The sequence below is a fragment of the Homo sapiens genome, chromosome 17 (assembly GCF_000001405.40).
Source record: "Homo sapiens chromosome 17, GRCh38.p14 Primary Assembly".
NCBI classification, from domain to species: Eukaryota; Metazoa; Chordata; class Mammalia; order Primates; family Hominidae; genus Homo; species Homo sapiens.
In genome coordinates this window covers 43,506,475-43,526,967 of record NC_000017.11, presented here as the reverse complement: position 1 = coordinate 43,526,967, position 20,493 = coordinate 43,506,475, and the positions used below count along the sequence as shown (strand labels likewise).

At 44.2% G+C, this 20,493-nt stretch overlaps 1 protein-coding gene across 12 annotated transcripts in view, besides 1 other annotated feature; it reads right to left on the bottom strand.

Moving 5' to 3' along the window:
• The window catches only part of DHX8 (DEAH-box helicase 8), a 60,825-nt gene that overhangs the window by 17,832 nt on the left and 22,500 nt on the right, over nucleotides 1-20,493 (bottom strand). For 4 of the 12 annotated variants that reach the window (NM_001322216.2, NM_004941.3, NM_001322221.2 and 1 more), the window contains 11 exons: nucleotides 19,771-19,965; nucleotides 19,280-19,465; nucleotides 18,949-19,159; nucleotides 18,448-18,629; nucleotides 13,466-13,606; nucleotides 9,646-9,801; nucleotides 6,701-6,838; nucleotides 6,089-6,217; nucleotides 5,403-5,599; nucleotides 4,742-4,921; nucleotides 1,298-3,340 (listed from right to left, as the gene is read on the bottom strand). In NM_001322216.2, coding sequence (NP_001309145.1) covers nucleotides 3,121-3,340; nucleotides 4,742-4,921; nucleotides 5,403-5,599; nucleotides 6,089-6,217; nucleotides 6,701-6,838; nucleotides 9,646-9,801; nucleotides 13,466-13,606; nucleotides 18,448-18,629; nucleotides 18,949-19,159; nucleotides 19,280-19,465; nucleotides 19,771-19,965 — 1,935 coding nt within the window. In that variant the 3' untranslated portion in view covers nucleotides 1,298-3,120. Of the gene's footprint in view, nucleotides 1-177; nucleotides 3,341-4,741; nucleotides 4,922-5,402; nucleotides 5,600-6,088; nucleotides 6,218-6,700; nucleotides 6,839-8,905; nucleotides 9,137-9,645; nucleotides 9,802-13,465; nucleotides 13,607-18,447; nucleotides 18,630-18,948; nucleotides 19,160-19,279; nucleotides 19,466-19,770; nucleotides 19,966-20,493 lie in introns of those variants that run through there. The other 8 variants (NM_001302623.3, NM_001322218.3, NR_136228.3 and 5 more) reach the window with 7 other exon arrangements.
• Nucleotides 833-1,127: a silencer, noted in NCBI's record as "tiled region #5739; K562 Repressive DNase matched - State 17:Gen3'". NCBI's record gives its function as "represses a minimal TATA promoter and a strong SV40 promoter by Sharpr-MPRA in K562 cells {active_cell/tissue: K562}" and the evidence as "EXISTENCE:reporter gene assay evidence [ECO:0000049][PMID:27701403]".

Below are 20,493 nucleotides of genomic sequence, written 5' to 3'. Positions count from 1 at the left end.
GCCCAACTCTGTTCATGTCTCAGGTTGGCCCAGCACCAACCTGAGACCATCCCTTGCAGGAAGGGATGCCCCTCGACTACTACCCACAAATAAAAGGCAACATTACTTCTTCCTAGAAACACAAAATATCAATGTACTGACATAATTTAGTGCAAGAAACAAAATTTTAAAAACAGGTTTTAAAAATATATAATTTAATTCCACATTAAAGCCAAGCTATCGTGGTGGGAAGAAGGTGTAAAAATCGGTGGAAACCCTGAAGGCCGAGTACACACACGAAGAGAGAGGGAGTTAGCTGAGAAGCAGCATCCAGGGAAAGAAAGGTCTCCACAAGCTGAGATGATGGCCCTCTGCCCTCTGAACTGTTCATTAACAAGTCACCAGTCCCAGTTCTTTGTTCAAATCCTCAAACTTGGAGAGGCACTGCTCCAATGAGACAGCTACAGCAACCACAGGGAGGAAGTGCTTTGGGCTGCAGGAGAGACAGTCAAAGCCAAATCACGTCCAGGCGGGATGAAGTAAACCTGGACCGAGGAGCCTGACCCAGCTGCGGAGCTCACACATGCCCCATAGGGACGGTCCTGCCATATACACAAACAGCACACTCAGCATGTGTGCAGAGGCAGGCAACTCCTGAGCTTGGTTCTCGCGGGGTGGGGGTGAACAATATACTTTAATGGCCAAGAAGATCCCAGCTCTCTGCATGAGACCCACATCCTCTCCTGGGCTGTCACTCAATCTTGGGAAATACTGGTTCAAGGAAGAGAAACAAGGGCTCCATTGTGTGAGAGCAGCAGGCAAGCTCCCCTTCTGCATCTGGACAGGACCCCCCCCTTCTCCCTCAGAGCAGGCTCAGCTCAGCTGCTGACATTGCTTTCCTGATGGTCAAAAGGTCAGAACCCAGCTATGTTGTCATAGCAGAGAAGTGACCTCAGCTCTAGCGTAGAGAGATGGTCAAGGAACACCCACAGAATGGGGATCCTTCTTTTTCCTCCACCTGAGCCAGAAAAGATAACGAACCCTGCTGTCTCTTATCCTTAGCCCATTCAACATCCCTTTTCAACCTCAGCTTGAAACCCAACCCTCCCTCCCCAGGTGTCAACATTGTCAGTGCTGGGCACTCAGTCAGGACAGGCTGGGCCACTATATCCAGGAGTGTTTCTGAATGGGGAAAATTTAGGCTGGAATTAGGACTGGGAGCCAGGTGTGGTGGCATGCACCTGTAGTCCCAGCTACTCAGGAGGCTGAGGCAGGAAGATCACTTGAGCTCAGGAGTTTGATGCCAGCCTAGGCAAGATGGCAAGATCCTGTCTTAACAAAAACAAAAACAAAACGAGATTGGGGAGGTGGGTGCCCAGTCCCCGTTTCCCCTTTGGTTTCATTTGAGGTCCCTGTACTGTCTCTCCCCAGAAGGCCTTCAAGGTTAACACACAACAATGCCCTGCCCCTTGATTACTGGCCTGGGCTTACAAAGGCGAATACTCAGACAGAATCAGGAGGCACTCAGCTTAATGAAGGGGCAGGGATCTGCAGCCAGCAGATTGCCTGGCCTATATTCCTCTCCCTCGGACTCTTTCTGAATTGTCTTTAGGGTGTGGTTTGCTGCCCAGTGACAACATACATTCCTTTATATCCTGGAATGTTACATAGTCTCTCTTAGTGTCTGGCATACAGTTCTACAGTAGTTCTAGCATTTACATCACTTCAGAACTTACTAATAACATAAGGACAGGAGAAGCAGCAACGTAACAGGATGTGCCCAATCTCTCAGAAGCTTCTCTACAAGCACTACATCCAGACCAGCTTTCCGTAAGTTCCGAAACCTGGCCTGGCAAGACCTGCCTGATGTTCCGCCAGGTAAGGAGCCTCCTCAGTGCAGAGGACAGTGGCTCTCAACTGTAATCCCAGCGCTTTGGGAGGCAGAGGCAGGAGGATTGCTTGACGCCAGGGATTGGAGAGCAGCCTGGGCAGCACAGTGGGAACCCATCTCTATGGGAAGAAAAAAAAAAAACCCTCCTCAGGAGCTGTGAGGAGGGCACAAGGAGGTGGCTATTCTCCAAGCAAGTGCTAGGAAAAAACCACTAAGAACAAGCCCTGCAGCACAGATACTGGCAGCACAAACCAGCTGAGAGGAGAGGTGTTATGTTTGTTTTCTGTTTGGAGTGGGGAAAGGGAGGTTTTGACCATAAAATCCCTTTGTTAAAGTCCATCCAGGACCTCAGGGGAAAAAAATAAAAACAAAATAAAATAAAAGCTGTGTTGTTACTTAGTATGTTTCAAAAGGAAATGGGACATGCTGCACATTGCGAATGTGGGAGGTGGAGGGAGCAAGGGGAAACCTTCTGTATTTAATATGTGCCATCTGTAGCCACTCAGGCCTCCAGACTGAAGTGCTCTGTGGAGAGGACATGGTTGATCATCGGGTGATCCCCCAGCACGGCCCGGCTAGTGCTGATGCTGAAAGACAAGGCTGGAAGTCTGGGTTGTACGTCGTTTCCGAGCGCAAAGAGGCCCTGCGTTCTGGTTTCAGGGGATTCAGGGGATTCTCATCATGTGTGCCAGAGCACAGATACTAAATCTCCCTCACCCTGAGCCCAGGCCAATATCCTAACCTTTCGGCTAAAAGAAAACAGTCACAGAAAACCATTTTTGTTTCCTTAAGAAAATAAATATTTCCACGAGGTCAAGCCAAAGTACAGGGGCTGGAGACGGGGTGGGAAGTGGGGCAAACACTTTAGATGAGCACAGTAGCTCCTGCTAGCTGGGGCATCAGGGCACTCACCATGTCCCTGCACAAGATGCTCACCCACTCCACCTTCCCATCCTGGAGCTGCACAAATTGTCCCTTTCTTGAAGTTGATGCAATGTGTCTCTGTGTTAGATATGAGCTCCCAACTGGGCCCAAGGACTTGGGGTGATGGAGGCTGCAGGCTCTTGCCAAAGCCAGGTTTAAATCCCTGTTTCTATTTTACCAGCAGGGAAGAAATGAGAGTCGAGTTGAGAAAATGCTCAGTTAAGACAGTCAGTCACGGGACAGCTGTATCCTCAGGACCAGCCTGTCATCGATAAGTCCAAGCCCTGGCTACTGCTGCTGGAGAGGCAAAGGAACAATCTTGCCTTTCAGCGCCGTCGGAAAGCTCGAGATATTCTCCAGGCATTGGGTTCCTCATAGCGGTTGTACAAGGGTTCAAGACGCTGTTGCTTCTTCTGTTTGCTTAGCTTAGTTGGGTCTGAGACCTTGAAGAAGGCTGGGGCAAACTCCACAAGCCACCGAGGGTCGATGGTGGTAACTTCACGCATGTATTCCTTGGTGGTGAGCACCAGCTCATGGTACACCACCCTGAGGGGGGACAGAGATAGTACTCAAGCCTCTGGATATAGGCCCCACTCTACAGTCAACCTGGTCCCTAGTAGGCCTCAGCTGAGCTTACATTTTATACTATTACCTCTCCTGCCTGACACCTATAAGACTGCAGTCTGTTTATGACAGCCACACCCCAATACTGAAGCACCCGCACACCTCTAACCACAAGAAAGGTCTCAGGAGAATGTATTCTAGTCCTGGCTCTGGCTCTAACTAGTTAAGTGACATGGAGCCAATCACATCCCTTCTCTAATCTGTTTCTTGCTCTATAAAATGTGAGGATGTTTATTAGAATGTTTCCACAGAATTCTAGGGCTCTGAAGAGGGGCCTCACACTGCCACAAGGGATGGAGAAGGCCAAACATGCAAGGAGCCACATTTCTAACCCTTCTACTGTGATAACATGGTGGTTTTAAATCAGTTTTATATTAGGGTTCTAGATAGAGTCCAATTTTTTAAAAATGCTACTTTAAAACAAGTTTTTTTTTTTAAACTACATCACTAGGTAGTTGTTTTTTTCTTTCTTTTTTTTTTTTTTTTTGGGACGGAGTCTCACTCTGTCTCCCAGGCTGGAGTACAATGGCACAATCTCAGCTCACTGCAACCTCTGCCTCCCGGGTTCAAGCTATTCTCATGTCTCAGCCTCCCAAGTAGCTGGGATTACAGGTGCCTGCCACCACGCCTGGCTAACTTTGTATTTTTAGTAGAGACATGGTTTCACTATGTTGGTCAGGTTGGCCTGGAATTCCTGACCTCTGGTGATCCACCTGCCTCGGCCTCCCAAAGTGCTGGGATTACAGACGTGAGCCACCATGCCTAGCCCCTAGGTAGTTGGTTTTTTTTTTTTTTTTTTTTTGAGATGGAGTTTCGCTCTTGTTGCCCAGGCTGGAGTGCAATGGGTGATTTCGGCTCACTGCAACCTCCACCTCCTGGGTTCAAGCGATTGTCCTGTCTCAGCCTCCCAAGTAGCTGGGATTACAGGCATGCGCCACCATACCTGGCTAATTTTGTATTTTTAGTAGAGACAGGGTTTCTCCATGTTGGTCAGGCTGGTCTTGAACTCCCGACCTCGGCTGATCTGCCCACCTCAGCCTCCCAAAGTGCTGGGATTACAGGCATGAGCCACTGTGCCTGGCCACTACGTAGTTTTTTAAACCACAATTTTTTTTTTCAACTAGGTCTCACCCCTATGATTTTAATTCTCTCATAGGGTTTGATACATTGTGCCTAATTCAGGTTTCTGCTGCTCTAGAAAGGCAAGCAGTGTTATACTAGGACATACTGGGAGTAGTGAAGACACAATCACAAAATACCAGGAAATTTACAGGTTTTTCTCTGCCCAGAAAAGCCCCTAGACCCTGGGACATGTCCACCTACCATTCTGGCTGTCTGTTGAAGAGGGCACTGGAAGGATGGATATAGACCACCTGCTGGTCGATCAGTGTCCGGTAACCCTCCTGCGGGTCTTTCTTGGCAGCATTACGGAAGAACCCACTGCAGATGGCCTTCTGCACTCGGACTGTGGACTTGCCACAGGAAACAACATCCAGCTTGTGTCTATCAAGATAGGACAAAAGATATGAGCCCACTCAGCTTTCACAGGTCTATTTTCACAATGACAGTGCCCAACACATCCATCTTGGGGTGCCCAGAGTAGTCACCAGGACCTTCCTTCCAGCCCTAAGTGTACTACAGAGGCAGCTCTACACAGTGGGCAGACGGAGGCACTCAGAGACAGACACTTTGTTTAGACAGGTATTCAATTCCACAGTAATAATGTTCCAGAGGGTTGCAAACAAAGAGCATTTTTTTCAACAACTAACAGATAATCTTCCTCTTAGGTATCTGAGGTAATTCTCAGGCATACCCTTACTTGGGGAGAAGGAATATAACAAAGATGGAAAAGCTGGAGGAAAAGGGTTATGTGAGGAGCAAGAGAAAAGGTGCCTATAGCTTTATAGGTACACACAGAGATGAAAAGACATGATACTCAAGGTGGTTCAACTCAAACATGCAGAGTCATCAGATTCCAGCTTACCTGTCCATTATGCCTAACATCTGCTTGCGAATGTCCTGGGCCCGGCGCAGGGAACGAGCCTGGATAAAGTTCTCATAGCACCATGGGTTGGAGAACTTGTTGTTCTTCCAGGAGTTGTACACAGCTAGCAGGGTGAGGTGGTCCCCTTCAGTCTGGTGGAATTTGGCCTTCTTCTGATCTGCAAGGGCTTGTTTATCCTGCCAAGCAGTGGGACAGAGGAACATTTCCGACTCAACAGCTACTAACTGAACATGGAGCAATTCTAGGGAGCCCTACAAGACCCTATCAAAAGTGTCCACATCAGGCTAGGCATGATGGCTCAGGCCTGTAATCCCAGCATTTTGGGAAACTGAGGCAAGAGGATCACTTGAGGCCAGGAGTTTGAGACCAGCCTGGCCAACATGGTGCAACCCTGTCTCTACTAAAAATACAAAAATTAGCAGCACACGGTGGCGCACGCCTGTAATCCCAGCTGCTCTGGAGGCTGAGGCAGGAGAACTGCTTGAACCCGGGAGGTAGAGATTGCAAGATCATTCCACTGCACTCCAGCCTGGGCAACAGAGTGAGACTCCATCTCAAAAAAAAAAAAAAAAAAAAAAAAGTCCACATCAAGCATTGGAATGGCAACAGGCCAACTACCCCAACTTCATGGCACCCCCATCTAAACTTGGATCTGAACTTCCTACCTTGGGCCTATAGAAGACGTTCTGCACAGACAGCATGGATACAATGGTCAGCATTTCCTCACTGCAGCCCAGATGCACAGACATGATGAGCATTTTGCATAGCATTGGCTCCAGAGGGAACTCTGCCATCTAGAGGGACAAAAAAAGACTACAACTGCTTCCCTGTGGAAGACACATTTGGATTCACCAGAGCAAGACCTTGGTCAGAGTGGGTAACAACACAGATTTTCCCAAAGCATAATGATGCCTTGGGATGCCTTTCTCTATCAGAAGAATGCTGTTGTTTATTCTTTTCCCAAATAAACTCCAACGGGATGTATGTGACCAAGCATATAACTACTGTTGGGGTAGATGAGAATTTTGCAGATGCCGTTTCTAATTAAGGCTACATTCAGTAATACATCCTCAGGCAAAATTATGAACAGAACACCTTTTTGTATAAAGAAGAAACAGTTTAAAGTGACAGTGGAGAAATTCAGGTTAAAAACAAACATTTAGAATTTTACTCAAAGCTTATCCACGGCCTCAGCCTGATTTTGTACAGACCGAAGGATGTGAAAGGCTGACCAGGGAATCTTCCCAAAAGCACAGGAAGTTGAGTCTGTCCCTTACCCGGCGGCCCAAGCGAGTGAGCAGGCCCTCGTCATCCAGGGCCCCCAGTGTGTACAGCTGCTCCATGGCTGTGATCAAAGTTTCCATAGGTGGGGCATCCATGAAATCAAAGGACAGCAGATCATTGATACCCATGGCCTAGAACAGAAAGGAAGAAGGCATGTGATAAGAGGGTCAGTCTAGCCAGTGTCAGCATGTGGGGAAGCTACTTGTTACTTTATTTCCCATTTCTTCAATTGCAATTAGGAAGCCACCGGTGAGACTGGCGGTAACTTCCAGGGCTGGGCCACATAAAACTCAGACTATTATAATAGAAAGCACATACTTGAGACAGAGTCTCACTCTGTCACCCAGGCTGGAGTGCAGTGGCCCAATCTCAGCTCACTGCAACCTCCACCTCCTACGTTCAAGCGATTCTTCTGCCTCAGCATCCCAAGTAGCTGGGATTATAGGCACCCGCCATCATGCCCAGCTAATTTTTGTATTTTCAGTAGAGATGGCGTTTTACCATGTTGGCTGGGCTGGTCTTGAACTCCTGACCTCAAGTGATCCGCCTGCCTCGGCCTCCCAAAGGAAAGCACATAATTTCTCAGGAAACTTTTTGAAAATATTCTCTCAGTTGGGCATGGTGGCTCACACCTGTAATCTCAGCAGTTTGGGAGGCCAAGGAGGGAGAATCGCTTGAGTCCGGGAGTTGAGACCAGCCTAGGCAACATGATAAAACGTCTTCCAAGAAAAAAAAAAACAAAAAACCCTAACACTCTCTCAAAATGACAATATGTACAACTCAACAGCAAAAGGACAAACAACTCAATTTAAAAAATAGGCACAGAGCTTGAATAGACATTTCTTCAAAGAAGATATACAAATGGCCAACAAGCACATAAAAAGATGCACAGATGCACAACATCAGTAGTAATTAGGGAAATGCAAATCAAAACTACAATGAAATATCACTTCATACCCACTAGGATGGCTATAATTTTTTTAAAAAACAGAAACTAACAAATGTCAGTGAGGACGGGAGGTATCAGAAACCTCATGCATTGCTGGTGGGAATGTAAGATGTTGCAGCCACTGTAGAAAAGTTTGGTGGTTCCTTAATAGGCTAAATACAGAATTAGCACATGACCCAGCAATTACACTTCTAGGTATATATCCAAAAGAACTGAAAGCAGACTCAAACAGATACCTGCACACTAATGTTCACAGCAGCATTATTGATAATAGCCAAAAGGTAGAAACAATCCAAATGTCCATCTGCTGATGAATGGATAAACAAAATGTGGTATATACATACAACAGAATACTATTCACCCTTAGAAAGGAATGAAATAAATGGATAAACCTTGAAAATAACATGAATAAATCTTGAAAACATTATTCTAAGAGAAACAGGTCAGATACAAAAGAATATTGTATGATTCCACTTAAATGAGGCTATCTAGAATAGACAAATTCAGAGAGGTAAAAAGTAGAAGAGTAGTTACCAAGGGATAGAGGAAGGGGGAAAGGGGAGTTACTGTTTAATGGGTACAGAGTTTCTGTTTGGGACAATGAAAAAGTTCTGGAAATGGATGTTGGTGATGGTTGTACAACATCTTGAATGTATTTAATGCCACTGAATTGTATACTTTAAAAAGCTTACAATAGTAAATGTTGTTATGTATTTTACAATAATAATAATAATAATATAGTCTACCAACTTGTCCTGTCTCTTGCATACATCATTTCTACTATATATCTATGAGGGATCTCATACCATGTTAGGTGGGAGGGATATAAAGATGGCCAGGATATGGCCCCTGCTTTCAGAGAGTTCACACTGGGTAAAAACTATGTTCACAAAACCACCACAGTGCAATCTACATGCCTGGCATGTAGCATGTGTTCAATACATTAGCTAATTCGATGAATAAAAGAAACGACTGAATGATGCACGATTCAAGTGTATATAAAGTGTGATGTGGTAGGACCTAAGCTTTCTATTTCTTTCTCATAAAGTGATTGTGACCATAAACACAGCAGGTGTTCAATAAATGTTTATTGTGTGAATAATAACTATGATGAATTATGTTAGCAATCATCAAGCACTGTGCCAAGTGCCTTTACCTACATTATCTCACTTATCTTTCCAACAAATACTATTAACAGCCCCTTTTTCAGAGCAGAACACAGAGCAGAGGGCAAAGTAAATAAACTTGCCCAAAGTCGCAGTTTGGAGCTGAAGTCCAAGCCACAGATGCCTCTCTGTTGGCACTTCAGAGACTGGAGTAGGTTTCTTTTTTCTTTCCAAAGCTCTGTTTTAGCCTCTTTGACAGGGAATAAATAATAAATGACAACAGAGCACTCTGCACCAGAAAGTACCAGGGCTCCAGGGTAGCATCAGTGTCGGGGGAAACGCCATCAGCTGGGAAATTACTCATACAGCTCCTCCTGCCAAAAGAGAATGAAGTCCTCACTGGGGACTGAGAGAGGAAGAACAATGATTCAGAATGAAAACCAAGCCCCTGAGAGCCAGTCTGAAATCTGTACTGACAGTTCCCTTGCAAAGTTTTTGAACAGGGGGTTTTCTCTCGTTCTAAAAGAACAGAATTGGATCTGAGCGCTAAAGTGGTTGAGGTTAGGTGTGTGTGTCCACAGTTTGGCATTGATTATATTTTTCTAATTTCCTTTTAGAAAATGCTCCTAACTAGAACCTTTTACAACCTAATATCCTGCTGGTTGTTATGGTAAGAAAAAATGTGTGTTCACAGCAGACATGCCAACTTAGCCCCAGACCTGCCGTGAGAGGCTGTTATCACAGCCATTTGCATTTCACTCAAAGGGACTGCTTTCATGAGGTTACTAAAGTATTTAACAAGGTTCATAAAACTGAAATTCATTTATGAAGGCCAGGATTGGACTGTTCCACCAACCCATTTTAACAAGACAGTGATTTCTACCTTGAGTGACAGCACTGTGCTTGCTAAGTTGGTTCTCTGGATTTCCGGCACGTTGGTGGTCAGCATTTCATCTCGGTAGGCACGTTCTGTGTACAACCTGTAACACTTCCCTGGGCCTGTTCTCCCAGCTCTGCCAGCTCGTTGCTTTGCCTGAGCCTAGAGGGGTGGGCATATAAAAGCAACATATCTGTTAAACACTGCTTAACAGCTTTACCCAGGATATCTGTTAAAAGGGGGACAATTAACAACTGGCAAAATCAGAAATGGGGTTGATTTCACTTCCTTTGGGACCATTTCCAAGACTACCAATGCTCTTATCTTCCCCTCTCCATACTCAGCACTTCGGGGAAGTTTGTTCGAGGGAGGCAATACAAGCAGGGTTAATGGAAGAAATATTATACAGATCTGAGACATATATCTTCAAAATAGTGTGGCGCAATATAAAAGAGAAAGCATAAAACAAGATGACAGAACACCATCCCCACAGTTATGACCAAAAATGTAAGTGAAATAAACATATTACGTCAATCATCCCAATGATGACTCTGCAGTCATTTTAAAAATTATGTTTGCAGGCCAAGCGTCGTGGCTTATGCCTATAATCCCAGCACTTTGGGAGGCCAAGGTGGGCAGATTGCATGAGCCCAGGAGTTCGAGATCAGCCAGGGCAATATGTTGAAACTTCATCTCTACAAAAAATACAAAAATTAGCTTGGTGTGGTGGCTCACGCCTGTAGTCCCAGTATTCAGGAGGCTCAGATGGGACGATCACCTGAGCCTGGGGAGGTCGAGGCTGGCTGCAGTAAGCCGTAATCACACCACTGCACTACAGCCTGGGCAACAACAAAGACTGATCCTGACTCAAAATAAAATAAAAAATAAAAATAAAAATCATGTTTGCAATGTTAAATGACAGAAGAAAATGTTCATTCGCATTAAATGCAAAATGCAAGTTACGAAACAATGTAAAATAATTTTAGTAAAAGTCTTTATATATCAACTACTAGAAGGAAATGACTAGGCGAAAAAAACCCTAAAATGTTAACAGTGGCTAACTCTGATAGTAGGCTTGCAGATGAGGTCTATTTTCTTTAGATTTTACCAAATATTGAACATGTATTATTCTAATAGGAAAATTAAATACTCAAAAAAATATACAAAACTGCATACTTACTTGACTACTAAAATTGCAACCATGAAAGAAATAAACATGAAAAAAGACTGGAATGAAAAACAGCAAAATAATAACAGTGGAGGTAGTAGGATGGTGGGTAAATTTTTTTCTTCTGTTTTTCAAAAATAATAAAACACTACTTCAAAAACACTGATTTTTTTTTAATTAAAAAAAATGTAGTTTAGCCATAGGTTGCTAGGAAACAATGAATAGCAATCTGAAGAGGGCCATTTTCTGACAAAACCATCTGTTGTTACAAACAGTACCAGGATTTACAAATTACTATGCCAGCTCCAAACCAAAGGATAGGTTATGAAAGGACAACTAACCACACAAATCCAGGCAGCAATCACACACAGTGGCTGGACTCTACAGCATTCTACACATGTCTCTCTCCAAATCAGGACAGGCATGTGTAACTAATTTTTTGATCACCGCCACCCTGACAAGTAGTATAGAGCATACAAGCTGGAGCCAGGCTACCCAGGTTCAAATCTTGGCTCCACTAGCTCTGTGATGTTAGGCAAATCACCTAACCCCTCTGTGCCTCAGGTTCCTCATCTGTGAAAATAATATCTACCACATAGGATCAATGCGAGAATGCACCAAGTCAATGCATGTATCTAGGACGTTAAGTACACTGTAAGTGTTAGCTATTATTGGGCCAGGCGCGGTGGCTTATGCCTGTAATCCCAGCACTTTGGAAGGCTGAGGCGGGTGGATCATGTGGTCAGGAGATGGAGACCATCCTGGCTAAGACAGTGAAACCCCATCTCTACCAAAAATACAAAAATTAGGTGGTCATGGCGGCATGCGCCTGTAGTCCCAGCTACTTGGGAGGCTGAGGCAGAGGAATCACTTGAACCCAGGAGGCCGAGGTTGCAGTGAGCTGAGATTGCACCACTGCACTCCAAACTGGGCGACAGAGCAAGGCCCCATCTCAAAAAACAAAACAAAACAAAAAGTGTTAGCTATTATTATTACTTAAGTTTCAAAATAAAAATAGCCTTAAGGCTTTCACAAATTATGAAAGTAATACATACCCACTGTAAAAGATTAAGACAACATATAAAAGTATAAAAGAAAATGCACATCATCTAGTAGCACCACCCATAAATAATCTTGGCTAACATTTAGACTACATGCTTTCAATCTTGGGCACAGCTCACTCACACATACTCTGAAGAAATGCTCACCATCTATTTTTAAACAAAAATTGGATTATACCATTCATGCTGTTTTGTAGGCTCACTTTTTCAAAGAAAATATTATAGTTACATGTTTATGTCATTAAATATAGATACACACCACCATGTTAATGCCACCAACATTCTATGGCATGAATATACCATAATTTATTAAACTACTTCCCTTTTGGAATACATTTAGAATTTTTTCCAGGTTTCCTCTGATATAAACCAATCCTTCGATGAACATCCTTTTCTATTACCTTTGGACATGTATTTAATCATTTCTAACTTTCAGATAAATTTCTATAAGCAGAACAGTTAGGTTAAAGAGATGAACATTTAAGTTTTGGATATACTGTTGCCAAACTTCTCTCAAAAAAGTGATCGGGTAATTCATTTTTAAATGTCATTTAGGCAGGAAATTATTCCATAATTACCAAAAAACCAGAAAATCATATAATTTATTATTATCTCAGATATCTATCTCGTAGCTAAGCAAGGTACTAGAAAATAAAGTACTGATCTTTCCATCTAAAATAGGTAATATAGGGTACTAGGATTCAAACTTTTTTTATGTTCTAGTTTTATGGGGCATTTAAACAAATTATTATTTTAGAGACACAGTCTGCTCTGTTGCCCCAGCTAGAGTGCAGTGATGCTATCTTAGCTCACTGCAGCCTCAGACTCCTGGGCTCAAGTGATCCTCCCACCTCAGACTCTTAAGCAGCTGGGACTGGTGGCACATGCCCCCATACCAGGCTAATTTTTTTTAAATTTTTTATAGTGACAGAGTCTTGCTATGTTGCCCAGGCTAGTTTAGAACTCTTGGCCTCAAGCAATCCTCCCACTTCAGCATTCCAAAGTGCTGGGATTACAGGTGTGAGCCAAGGTGTCTGGCCTTACGGGGGCATTTTAATAGTGAAATACTATTCTAAAGATTAAAAAGGGCCGGGCGTGGTGGCTCACACCTGTAATCCCAGCACTTTGGGAGGCCAAGACGGGTGGATCATCTGAGGTTGCGAGTTCAAGACCAGCCTGACCAACATGATGAAACCCCGTCTCTACTAAAAATAGAAAATTAGCTAGGTGTGGTGGCACATGCCTGTAATCCCAGCTACTTGGGAGGCTAAGGCAGGAGAATCGCTTGAACCCAGGAGGCAGAGGTTGCAGTGAGCCGAGATTGCGCCACTGCACTCCAGCCTGGGCAACAAGAGTGAAACTTAGTCTCAAAAAAAAAAAAAAAAAAAAAGATTAAAAACTTCAAGGATCAATCAGACTTCAGGGATAAAAAAAGATTAAAAACAAATAACAAAAAATCCTTCCCTCATGTCATTATAGTACCCAGTATCATAAAAGTTCATCTTTGAAAACAAGTTTGAAATATATAACCATAAAAAAGTTTCAGAAAGGCCCTAATCAGGATTATCAGGAAAACTGTTGATACAAGCCGTCATACCTGAGAAATAGGCGTCACCACGAGCTGGTCAATCCCTGTCTTGGAATTGTAAACTTTCTGTTTCACGAATCCTGGGTCCACCACATAGTAGATACCATCAATAGTCAGCGATGTCTCTGCGATATTGGTGGCAATCACAACCTGCAGGCAAGAGGGGCAAAGCTGGAGTGAGGTGCCCAGGCTCAGCCCTGAGGTGTGAAAAGGTCTTCTGAACCCAGATATCTTCCCAAAGGAATATGTGGCTATCTCTCTCTCTAGACGGTTAAAATGACACTTAATCCCAGCTCAGCCTCCAACAGCAGAAGGGAGGTACCTTCTGCTTAATGGTTAAGTTGGAAAAGGGATGGTACCTGAGAGGTGAGTGGAATAGGAAAAAGCTACAGCCAATAAAAGCCAATTTCATTTGGTGCAAATAGCTACTGTGTATCTCATTTTCTAGATCCAATGTTGATTACTACAATTTTAATTTTCTAGCACCCTGGGAAAGCAGAGATTTCCTGGCATCACATGTGCCAATGCAAAATGAGATTTTTCTTTCCCCTACCGAGACATCTGGACTAAAAAATGAGCTGCTTGTATTTTGCGGAATATGTATGTGGAACAAGAGGGAGATTGCTTCTTTTTACTGATCATAAAATGAACCATGAGATGACACAGGAATTTCACAGTTTGCGTGTGTGTAGCAGTCTATGTGATCTGGAGGATTATTAGTCTCAGCTTGGCACTGTCACTGTTCTTCCACCCAAAGGTTCAGCTAATAAAACACAATTGCTTGGAAAAATCATCACTGGGGGCACCGGAATATCACGCATCATGCCAGCATCTTACTGGTCCTGAAAGGCTTCTACCTGCTACAGAACTACAGAAGCCCTGCTTAGAAAGAACTCTCATTATTAGGAATAGAATAGGGGAGAAATTCACCATCTTTCCACTCAAGCCTCCTCCCATGTTTCCCTCCTCAGTGCCATCTTCCATCCAGCTGCCCAAGCCAGAAACCTGACAGTCATGCCTGACTTCCCTCACCCTTCTTCCCTTTACCTGCTAGTACCCACCAAGTCTTGTCCATTTTAACTCTTTAACATTACTCAAGTCCATCTGCCTTTTTTTTTTTTTTTTGAGATAGAGTCTCACTCTGTTGCCCAAGCTGGAGTGCAGTGGTGCAATCTCGGCTTACTGCAACCTCCACCTCCCGGGTTCAAGCGATTCTCCTGCCTCAGCCTCCCGAGTAGCTGAGATTACAGGCACGTGTCACCATGCCTGGCTAATTTTTGTATTTTTAGTACAGACTGGGTTTCATTATGTTGGCCAGGCTGGTCTCGAACTCCTGACCTCATGATCCATCCGCTTCAGCCTCCCAAAGTGCTGGGATTACAGGTGTGAGCCACCACACCCGGCCAAGTCCATCTGCCTTCTACTCTTAGGTATATGTCCAAGAGAAATGAAAACATACGTCCACACAAAAACTTGGTTTTCTTTTTTGAGACAGGGTCTGGTTTGCTCTGTAGCCTTGGCTGGAGTATAGTGGTGTGATCATGGCTCATAGCAGCCTCACCCTCCCAGGCTCAAGTGATCCTCCCACCTCAATCTCTTGAGTAGCTGGGACTATGCATGTGCCACCACGCCTGGCTGATTTTTTTTTTTTTTTTTTTTTGTAGAGATAGGGGTCTCACCATGTTGCCCAGGCTGATCTTGAACTTCTGGGCTCAAGGGATCCTCCCACCTTGGTCTCCAAAAATGCTGGGATCTGCCAGGCGTGGTGGCTCATGCCTGTAATCCTAGCACTTTGGGAGGCTGAGGCGGATGGATCATCTGAGATCAGGAGTTCGAGACCAGCCAGGCCAACATGTCAAAACCCTGTCTCTACTAAAAATACAAAAATTAGCCAGGCATGGTGGCACATGCCTGTAATCCCAGCTACTCAGGAGGCTGAGGCAGAAGAATCACTTGAACCTGGGAGGCAGAGGTTGCAATGAACCAAGATCATGCCACTGCATTCCAGCCTGGATGACAGAGAAAGACTCTGTCTCAAAAAAAAAAAAAAAAAAATGCTGGGATCACAGGCATAAGCCACTGCGCCTGGCTCACACAAAAATGTGTAAACAAATGTTCACAGCAGCATTATTCAAGAAAGCCCAAAAGTGAAAATGACTCCTATGTCTATCTTTATCTTCCTTTTGAGATAGTTTTGCTCATTGCCCAGGCTGGAGTGCAATGGCACGATCTCGGCTCACTGAAACCTCTGCCTCTTGGGTTCAGGTGATTCTCCTGTCCCAGCCTCCCAGGTAGCTGGGATTACAGGCACCCGCCACCACGCCTGGCTAATTTTTGTATTTTTAGTAGAGACAGGGTTTCACCATATCAGCCAGGCTGGTCTTGAACTCCTGACCTCAGGTGATCCATCTGCCTCAGCCTCCCAAAGTGATGAAATTACAGGTGTGAGCCACTGCGCTCAGCTCCAATGTCCATCAACTGATAAATGGATAAACAAAATGTGTTGTGCCCATACAACACAACAGTATTCAGCAAGAAAAAGAAATGAAGTATTGATACATACTACAATGTTGATGAACTCTGAAAACATGCTAAGTCTGGAAAAATCACTGGAAATAAGCCAGCCACAAATATGTGATTTCATTTATATGAAATGTCTAGAATAGGCAAATCCACAGAGATGGAAGATATAGGTTAGTGGTTTCCAGAGGCTGAGCAGAGGAGTAAATGGGGGTAGATGACTGCTAAAGGGTACAGCATTTCTTTTTAGGGAGATAAAATTGTTCTAAATATAATTGTGGTGATGGCTGCACAATTCTGTGAATATGGTTAGCCCTCTGTATCTGCTGGTTCCCCATCTATGGATTCAACCAACAGCAGATTAAAAATATTTGAGGAAAAAAATTCAACAATAAAAAAATACAAATAAAAAATACAGTAAAACAACTGCTTATATAGCATTTACACTGTATGAGGTATTATAGGTAATCTAGAGATAAAGTATCACACAGGAAGATGTGCATAGTTTACATGCAAATACTATGGCATTTTACATAAGAGACTTGAGCATACTTGGATTTTGGTATCCTCGGGGGTCCTGGAACCAATCCCCACATACCATGGGTAAAAGCCTTTGAACTGTACACTTTAAAAGGGTAAATTCTGGCTGGGCACGGTGGCTCACACCTGGAATCCCGGCGCTTTGGGAGGCCGAGGGGGGCAGATCATCTGAGGTCAGGAGTTCGAGACCAGCCTGACCAGAATGGAGAAACCCTGTCTCTACTAAAAATACAAAATTAGCCGGGTGTGGTGGCACATGCCTGTAATCACAGCTACTCGGGAGGCTGAGGCAGGAGAATCACTTGAATCTGGGAGGCGGAGGTTGCGGTGAGCCAAGATCGCACCATTGCACTCCAGCCTCGGCAACAAGAGCGAAACTCCATCTCAAAACAAACAAACAAACAAACAAACAAACAAAAAACAGTAAATTCCAATCTGGGCAACATGGCGAAACTGTGTTTCTACAAAAAAAATACAAAAATTGGCTGGGCGCAGTGGCTCACGCCGGTAATCCCAGCACTTTGGGAGGCCGAGACCGGCAGATCACATGAGGTCAGGAGTTCGAGACCAGCCCGGCCAACGTGGGGAAACCCCATCTCTACTAAAAATACAAAAATAAGCCAGGCGTGGTAGTGGGTGCTTATAGTCCCAGCTACTCGGGAGGCTGAGGCGGGGGAATCGCTTGAACCTGGGAGGTGAAGGTTGCAGTGAGCCGAGATTGTGCCGTTGCACTCCAGCCTGGGCAACAAGAGTGAAACTCTGTCTCAAAAAAAAACACAAAAACAAAAACAAAAACCAAAATTAGCCAAGAATGGTGGCATGCACCTGTAGTCCCAGCTGCTTAGGCGGCTGAGGCAGGAGGATCACTTGAGCCTGAAAGGCAGAGGTTGCAGTGAGCTGAGATCACATCACTGCACTCCACCTTGGGTGACAGACTGAGACCCCATCTCAAAAAAAAAAAAAAAAATAAGTGGGAGGTGGAGGGAGTTAATTGAAAGGTATGTAAATTATATCTCAATAAAACTGTTACTAAAAAAATACCTACATCCATCTGTCTCCTTTCCTGTTGTCTCATACACACAGTCATATACTTGGTTCCAGCCACTGGAACTATGCCATTCCCTGAACTGGCCCTACTTGCTCGTCTCCAGGCCATCACAGATAGTTCTGTGTCCTTAGAATGCTTGTCCCCTTGCCTTTCAAGAGTTCTCCAGGACTACCTTAGATCCTTATTTCCTCTAGGAAGACAGGGTTGGGTGCTCCCGCCTGGGTATCCAAGCATGAGTGGCATTTTCACACTAAATGCTGAAAGTCTGTTGACTGGGGGATGCCCCACAGCAGATAGAGGCTTGTTCTCACAATGCAGCTCCCATGTGTAGCCCAAAGCCTGGTAGATGCTCAAAAAATATTTGTCAAATGAAGAAGAGGAAGAAGAGGAGAGGTCACATACTAAACAAATTGGTTGGACCTCATTCCTAAACAAATTGGTTGGACCAGTCTCTGAAACCTAACAAACAAGACTTGCATACACCTGGCCGGGCGCGGTGGCTCACACCTATAATCCCAGCACTTTGGGAGGCTGAGGCGGGCGGATCACGAGGTCAGGAGATCGAGACCATACTGGCTAACACGGTGAAACCCCGTCTCTACTAAAAATACAAAAAATTAGCCAGGCGTGGTGGCAGGTGCCTGTAGTCCCAGCTACTCAGGAGGCTGAGGCAGGAGAATGGCGTGAACCCGGGAGGCGGAGCTTGCAGTGAGCTGAGATGGTGCCATTGCACTCCTGCCTGGGTGAGAGCGAGACTCTGCCTCGAGGAAAAAAAAAAAAAAAAAGACTTGCATACACCCTAAGCAATCCCTACTATGGCTGACAGGCTGCACACAACACATGGTTTCAGGGCACATGGAAGCTTCATTTTTGCCCATGTTACCTTTCTGCTGCCTGGTGGAGCTGGGTCAAAGATTCGGGTCTGCATCTCACTGGGAAGAGCAGAGTACACTGGGAGGATAATTAACTCTGGAACATCAGGTCCCAGGGATTTCATTCTTTCATACAGGATCTCACAAGCAGTATCAATTTCTTCCTGACCAGTCAGGAAGACCAGGATATCACCTACGAGCAGAATAGAACATTCATCTACTTTCTGTGTGTGTATGTGTGTCCTATACAAGGGCTATGGTGATATTAATAAAACTTCAAATAACAGAACATATGCATTCATATTCTGACCAGTAAGTAAACAATACAAGTTTGTTTATATATGACATTATAACCACCATCATTTCAAACATACAAGCCTGAGGCTTGCAGAGAGATGAATATTTAGAAGTTGTTTTTAAAAAGATTAGCAAAAAAGATACCCATATGAGGACTTTTGGCCTAAGAGGGAAAATTAGGCCTCCCAAAAAGGAAAATTGCTTTTTCCCCTTACCTGGTGGTTCTGTTAAATGAATCTGCATAACAGTAATCAGGCTGGCATCCAGATAATCTGTCTCAGGTTCCTTTGTGTACAGTATTTCCACTGGATATGTTCGACCTGGGATGGTGAAAATGGGAGCTTCATAGAAGTATTGAGAAAACTTCACTGCATCCAAGGTGGCTGAGGTGACAATCAGCTTCATGTCCTGCCGTTTCTGAACTGTCTGAAGAGAAATATTATGTGGCTTACTGAAAAGGACTACCCAAAGACACAGGTACTCAAATCCAACTGCCAGAATTCAGCTTCCAACAGGTAGAGGGGTCATTAAAGAGCATCTAGTTACCTTTTTCAACAATCCAAAGAGCACATCAGTGTGAATTGTCCTCTCATGTGCCTCGTCCAACATGATGATCGCGTACTGAGTGAGGTCAGGGTCAATCAAGCACTCTCTAAGCAACATCCCATCTGTCATGTACTTGATGACTGTTTCAGGGCTAGTGCAGTCCTCAAATCGAATGGTGTAGCCCACCTAAAGCAGAAGAGAAGGGGAAAACCTAGGATACAAATGTCTCCTTTTCCCAATCACCAGGCAAGATTTCAGCCCAGTCACTCTCACTCATAATCTTAAGAATCTGATCAAGATGTACAGTAATTTCCTCATAGTAAGGTATGTCTTAGACTATACTCTGAACAGACTGATTATGACAATGGGAACCCTCTCTCCCTCAGGAGAAACCTGAAAAAAGGCAGTATTATTAATATTTCCATTTGATAGATTAAGAGACCTGGGCCTTTGCTTCTGGTATTTTTCGAGCGACTCCACTATCTACTTACCTCTTGGCCTAAGCAACAACCAAACTCCTCTGACACTCTTTTGGCCACCGACATAGCTGCCACTCTTCTGGGCTGGGTACACCCAATCTTGCCCCTGGAAGTGTAGCCTGCCTCCGCCAGGTACTGGGTGATCTGTGTTGTCTTTCCAGATCCTGTCTCACCAATGACAATCAGGATCTGATTGTCATGGACGGCCTGAAAGCAACAGAATATAAATATGGTCATTAAAATCTGCCAGAATATAAATATGGTCATTAAACAGAATATAAATATGGTCATTAAAATCTACATTACTCTGGAATAAAATAATTACTATATTCTAACACCAAAGAAAAGAGGAATATACACATATAGTTAAAGAAGTCAACAATGAATTTAAAAGATACATAAAAAATGTTCCTTCCCACTGTAACTCCCAAATTTCTATATCTTTCCCCAAAAGTTATTTCTTATTTCTACGTTGTTTGTAACAGCCAAGGATTACAATCAACGATGTTTCTATGGATATAGGACTAGTTAAATAAACCAGAGCCTATCCAAATAATACAGCCCATAAAAAAAGGCTTTTTTTTTTTTTTTGAGATGAAGTCTCACTCTGTCGCCCATGCTGGAGTGCAGTGGCATGATCTCAGCTCATTGCAACCTCCACCTTCCGGATTCAAGTGATTCTCCTGCCTCAGCCTCCCAAGTAGCTGGGACTGCAAGTGCCCGCCAGCACGCCCG